The 4,415-nt window shown below is 44.8% G+C and overlaps 1 long non-coding RNA gene across 1 annotated transcript; it reads left to right on the top strand.

The window, feature by feature from the left end:
- Nucleotides 1-574: 574 nt before the first annotated feature.
- On the top strand, nt 575-2,512 carry LOC101927603 (uncharacterized). The gene is made up of 2 exons (XR_007061633.1): nt 575-604; nt 1,174-2,512. It is a non-coding gene; the product is annotated as an uncharacterized LOC101927603 (long non-coding RNA).
- The last annotated feature ends 1,903 nt before the right edge of the window (nt 2,513-4,415 follow it).

The following is a 4,415-nucleotide window of genomic DNA, read 5'->3' as shown; positions in this document are numbered from 1 at the left end:
AAATACTGGTTAAGATTTTGATTATTTTGCAGAATTGTAGCATAGTACCTCAGGATTGACATTTTGCCCTCAAAATTTTATGTTCAATGTTCCTGTCCTTTGTTTAGAAGTTGCACTTTCTATTGTTTGTAAGTCTATCAAAAAAAAAATAGAAAGTTTTTCTTTCCTGTTGCCTAAATGATTTGATTGTTTAGTTCTTGGAGTAGAAACACCAGCTGCCCTTAGCCTGGGTGCAAGCCAGCAGAGAAGGGGAAAGGAATGCAAGAGTGAGTAAGATGTGGCCCTTATCCTCAAGGAATTCAGAGTCCCATGGGGGAGATAGGCCTGGTTTCTATAAACAATGATGCAAGACAGAACATGATGTGCCAGGAGGGACAGAGTGCCAAGGTGGGGACAAAGGAATGACGAGTCCCGAAATAGACCTGTGGGAAAGGTGTTGTGATGCTGGGAGGCTGGACTGGATCTTAAAGAAGGTGGGGATTATAACATATAGGGAAAGGGTGGCAGGCGGGGAGATGGGGGCAGAGAGAGAGTATAAGAAGGCAGGGATTCCAGGCAAAGAGAAAAAGTTGAGCAGAGGGTGGAGGCTGGTAGGCGAGGAGAGGTAAATGGGGTCCCTTCATGAAAGGACTTGGAAGCCACGCTATGGTGTTGTGTCCCTAGGTCAGTGGGGGGCTGTGGATGGGTCTTAAGCAAGTTAAGTAACAGGATTACATTTATGTTGTAGAAAGACAGGGAATGGATTGGCATGGTAGAAACCTCTGATTTTACTTCTGATTCAACAACCAGCTGGGTTTCTTGGGTTTGCCCCTCAACTCCCCTCCTTGGGGACGAGTTCATATGTGACCCCCATCTCCCTCTGTCTGATAGCTGTCCTTGGGCAACACACCCACCAGGAGCTCGCGGAAACAGGACCATTCTCTTGCAGGGCCAGAGCCCGTGGCAGCCTGTTCCCAAAGCCCAGAGGAAGGCAGACAGCTATAATCATTTGGCAAACTAAGGTTACCACTGCTTCTAAGACATAACATGCTTGAATTTAACAAACGTGTGCAAATGATAATCTTGAAATTTCAACTAAGGATTCTAGGCTGGATCAATATTGTCACAGAATCACAGTTTTTGGAAGGTAGTTAGATCTTCTATACATTGACAATTAATTTTCTTTCTCAACAGAACTGCAAACCAATTCCCAATTAATGAATTTGCTGAGTAGTTCCTCCCCAAGGAGAGTCAGTCTGGCAGAGACATTCAGCTCTAGCTGAGGCCAGGCTAGATCTGTTGGACCAGAGTCGACCTGCAGACCTGTGAACATGAGCATAAGTGTTCGCTGAGAGCCAAGGAGTTTTGGTGTGGTTTGTTACAAAGCTTTGTCCAGGCAGCAGCTGACTGATTCCTGCCCTGGCAGAAAACTGGAGCACCCATCTCTTTATGTAGAAGTGAGGGTTCATTGAAGTATGAAGTATGTAAAGTGTGCTAAGCAGGACTTTGGCTTATAATTATAATAATTGTTACTATTATTAATCTCACATTAAACTTTGCTCACTCTCTCTCTTAACCAAACCAAAGTTCTAGAAGCCTCCTAGCGGGACGGGAAAGGAAATGTTGGATCAACATACATGGATTGATTAGATGGGACCAATGAGGCCTTACAGTCTGTTTGAGGAGGGAAAGAGAGAGAGGAGAAGGAGACAGGCAGGATAGGTCAGGTTCTAGGGGCTCCCATGGTTTGTATCTTAACAATCTACCATTTTCTTTTCAGGCCAGTGTCCACATCCTGCTCACATTTGGGACATCTGTGAGGCAGGGTGCCTCCTTTTTGTCCCTCCAAGAGGACAGTTGGGGGACTTGGCCTCTGGCCGCCTCAAGTTGGGTCAGCACCTGCTGGGCCTCATCCTGGTTCATCGTGCATCAATGGGAGCGCACCTGGGTTCTGCTGACATGTGAGAGCTTCTTCACCGAGGGGTTCAGAAAAGTGTGCTCATGGCCTGTAGATCTGGATTCAAAGGGAGATGAGAAAAATAGGAACTGAGCCCGTGGCTTGCCTCACCCACTTCCTGAGCCTGCGCAAGGGACAAGACTTTCCTGTGTGGCCTTCTTACGGCAGTCCACAGGGAAGTGGCCTCATTTTCTGTGTCTGTCCTGCCCAGCGCCCCCACTCTCCTGTGCTGGTCCCAGGCCATCCCTTAGCCAGAGTGCAGAACTCCAGACCCCCAATATTCTCTCATATCCTCAGAATCTTCAGCTTCCATCCATGGATGTTGGCTGAATCCTGAGTGGGGTCGTAGAAAGATCTGGTCCTGTGAGTAGGGGGGCGAGGAGGAAGGCAGGGACTTCAGCTGGGCTGTCTACAACCTGAGTCTAAAACACCTAAAGACAAGCACAACTTGCCCCCGCTAGGACGAATTTCTTGCTCCAGACCGCCTCACTGCATCTCTAGGGCCATGTGTATTCCTGCTATTTGGCCACATTCCTTGAGAAAAATTGCCTATTAAAAGAATTTCCTTATTCACCAGTTATTTAAACAAATGGTCTTTTTTTTCTGATCCCAAAGATTTTAGCTTATCTCCTGTTGTGTACATGAGTTTGTGTGTGTCTGTATCTGTGTGTGTATATGTGTGTGCACATATGTGTGTATGTGTGCATGTGTGAGTGTATGTGTGAATATTCGTATGTGTGACAGTGTATATGTGTTTGTGTGTGTGGTGTGTATATGCATGTGTGTGCACATATGTGTGAATGTATGTATGTCTGTACATGTGTGAATGTGTATGTGTGTATGACTGCGTGTGTGTGTATGTGTATGAGTATGTCTATGTGTATGAGTGTGTGGACGTGTAGTGTGTGTGAGATTGTATGTGTATGAGTATGTGCATGTGTGAGTGTATTTATGTGTGCATGTGTGTATGAGTGTGTACATGTGTGTGAGTGTGTGTATGAGTGTGTGTGTATATGTGTGTATGTGTGTGTGTGTGTGCTGATGAGGTTTGTTGAGTGGAGGCTAAGTGGATAGAGACTCAAATGTTCGCTCCTGGCTGAGGTGGAGAAGCCCTGCTTCTGTGTATTTGATATTGAGGTGGAGAAGCCCTGCTTCTGTGTATTTGATATTGGAAGTTCTTTACGAGACTTTGCCTTTCTCTTTGAAAGAAGTTTGAGTTTCACTGATTAGTGTGAGACACTATCCTTGCACAGCATAACACTTAGGTGGTGGAGCAGCAAACATTCTCTGCTCTTCTTACAGAATTCTGGTTTTATTCAGGGTGGCAATAAATCTTAGGAGAGATCATAATTGATCCAAACCAATCACTGCCTCCTATTCCCTTTTACCAAATACTTCCCCAGCCTTCCTTACAGATAGAAGTAACCAAGGGACCAAGTTCTGGCCAATGGGCCATACAGGGAAGGTTTCCACAGAGCTTCTGGGAAATATTTCTTCCTGATAAAAAGAAAAAGACTCACTAAAAGGGCACCTTTTCAGCACCTGGCAATGCTATTGCTTCCTTCCTTTGAAAGTGGCTGTGATGCCTGGAGTTGCAGCATCCATCTTGAGAACGAGAACCAACAGGAAGCAAGTTGAGAATGGTGGAACAGAAATAGCCTGAGTCCTTGTTGCCATTGTATTGTTACCAAACCAGCTCTGGACTTCCTATTCTGTACTTTATTGTTTAGGCTACTGTTAGTGGGGATTTCTGTTACTTGCAGCCTAATGCACCCTAATACTTAAATTGATTTACTTTTTCCTTAATTTTCACACTGTTCAAAGTAGCATTGGGAGACATCTTCCATGTGTCTTTTCTGCTCCTGCATATCATGTAAGCAGAGGCACTTGCAGCTTCTGTTCTGGACTATTTTCTCAAGCAAACAGCTTTGGGAATGTAAGAATAGTGTCTTCTTTTCAAACAGAGAGCAAATTTGTTTGCTGACCAGTATAATAAAAACCACATCAATCTCTGAGGAAAAGGTTATGCAGTCTTGATAAAGGATTGGAGTTTCCTAAGTTTGGGATTTGAGTAATCTTTCGGAGCTGGAAACAAGACTTGATGATTTGTGTATGGAGGCAGAAGAAATAAAGAGAAATCAATCTTTATGCTCAATTTTGGGGACTTGAAAGCACAACTTTCAACTGAGGTGGGACACGTTGTGTAGCAGGTAGTAGGAAGGTTAAAAATAAATTAAAAAAAGAGATGTAGGGGGGATGTGTGTTGCTGATCAGCAAAGGGAGACCTAGGAATACTAATCATTAGTTTTCTTCACCTCCCAGAGAAGATACTGGTTTCTTTTGGGCTGCTTCAAAGCCCACGTCCTTGGCCTTTGATATTTGGTAGGGGCCCAGCACCCTGTCAGAGGCTGGCATTGGGACACCGAGGGGAGGGGCTGCTGTCTTTTTCAGCAGCATGTACTGTGTGCCAATTCCACAT

Source organism: Homo sapiens, chromosome 9 (assembly GCF_000001405.40).
Source record: "Homo sapiens chromosome 9, GRCh38.p14 Primary Assembly".
Taxonomy (NCBI): domain Eukaryota; kingdom Metazoa; phylum Chordata; class Mammalia; order Primates; family Hominidae; genus Homo; species Homo sapiens.
This window is presented reverse-complemented; position numbering and strand designations above follow the sequence as displayed.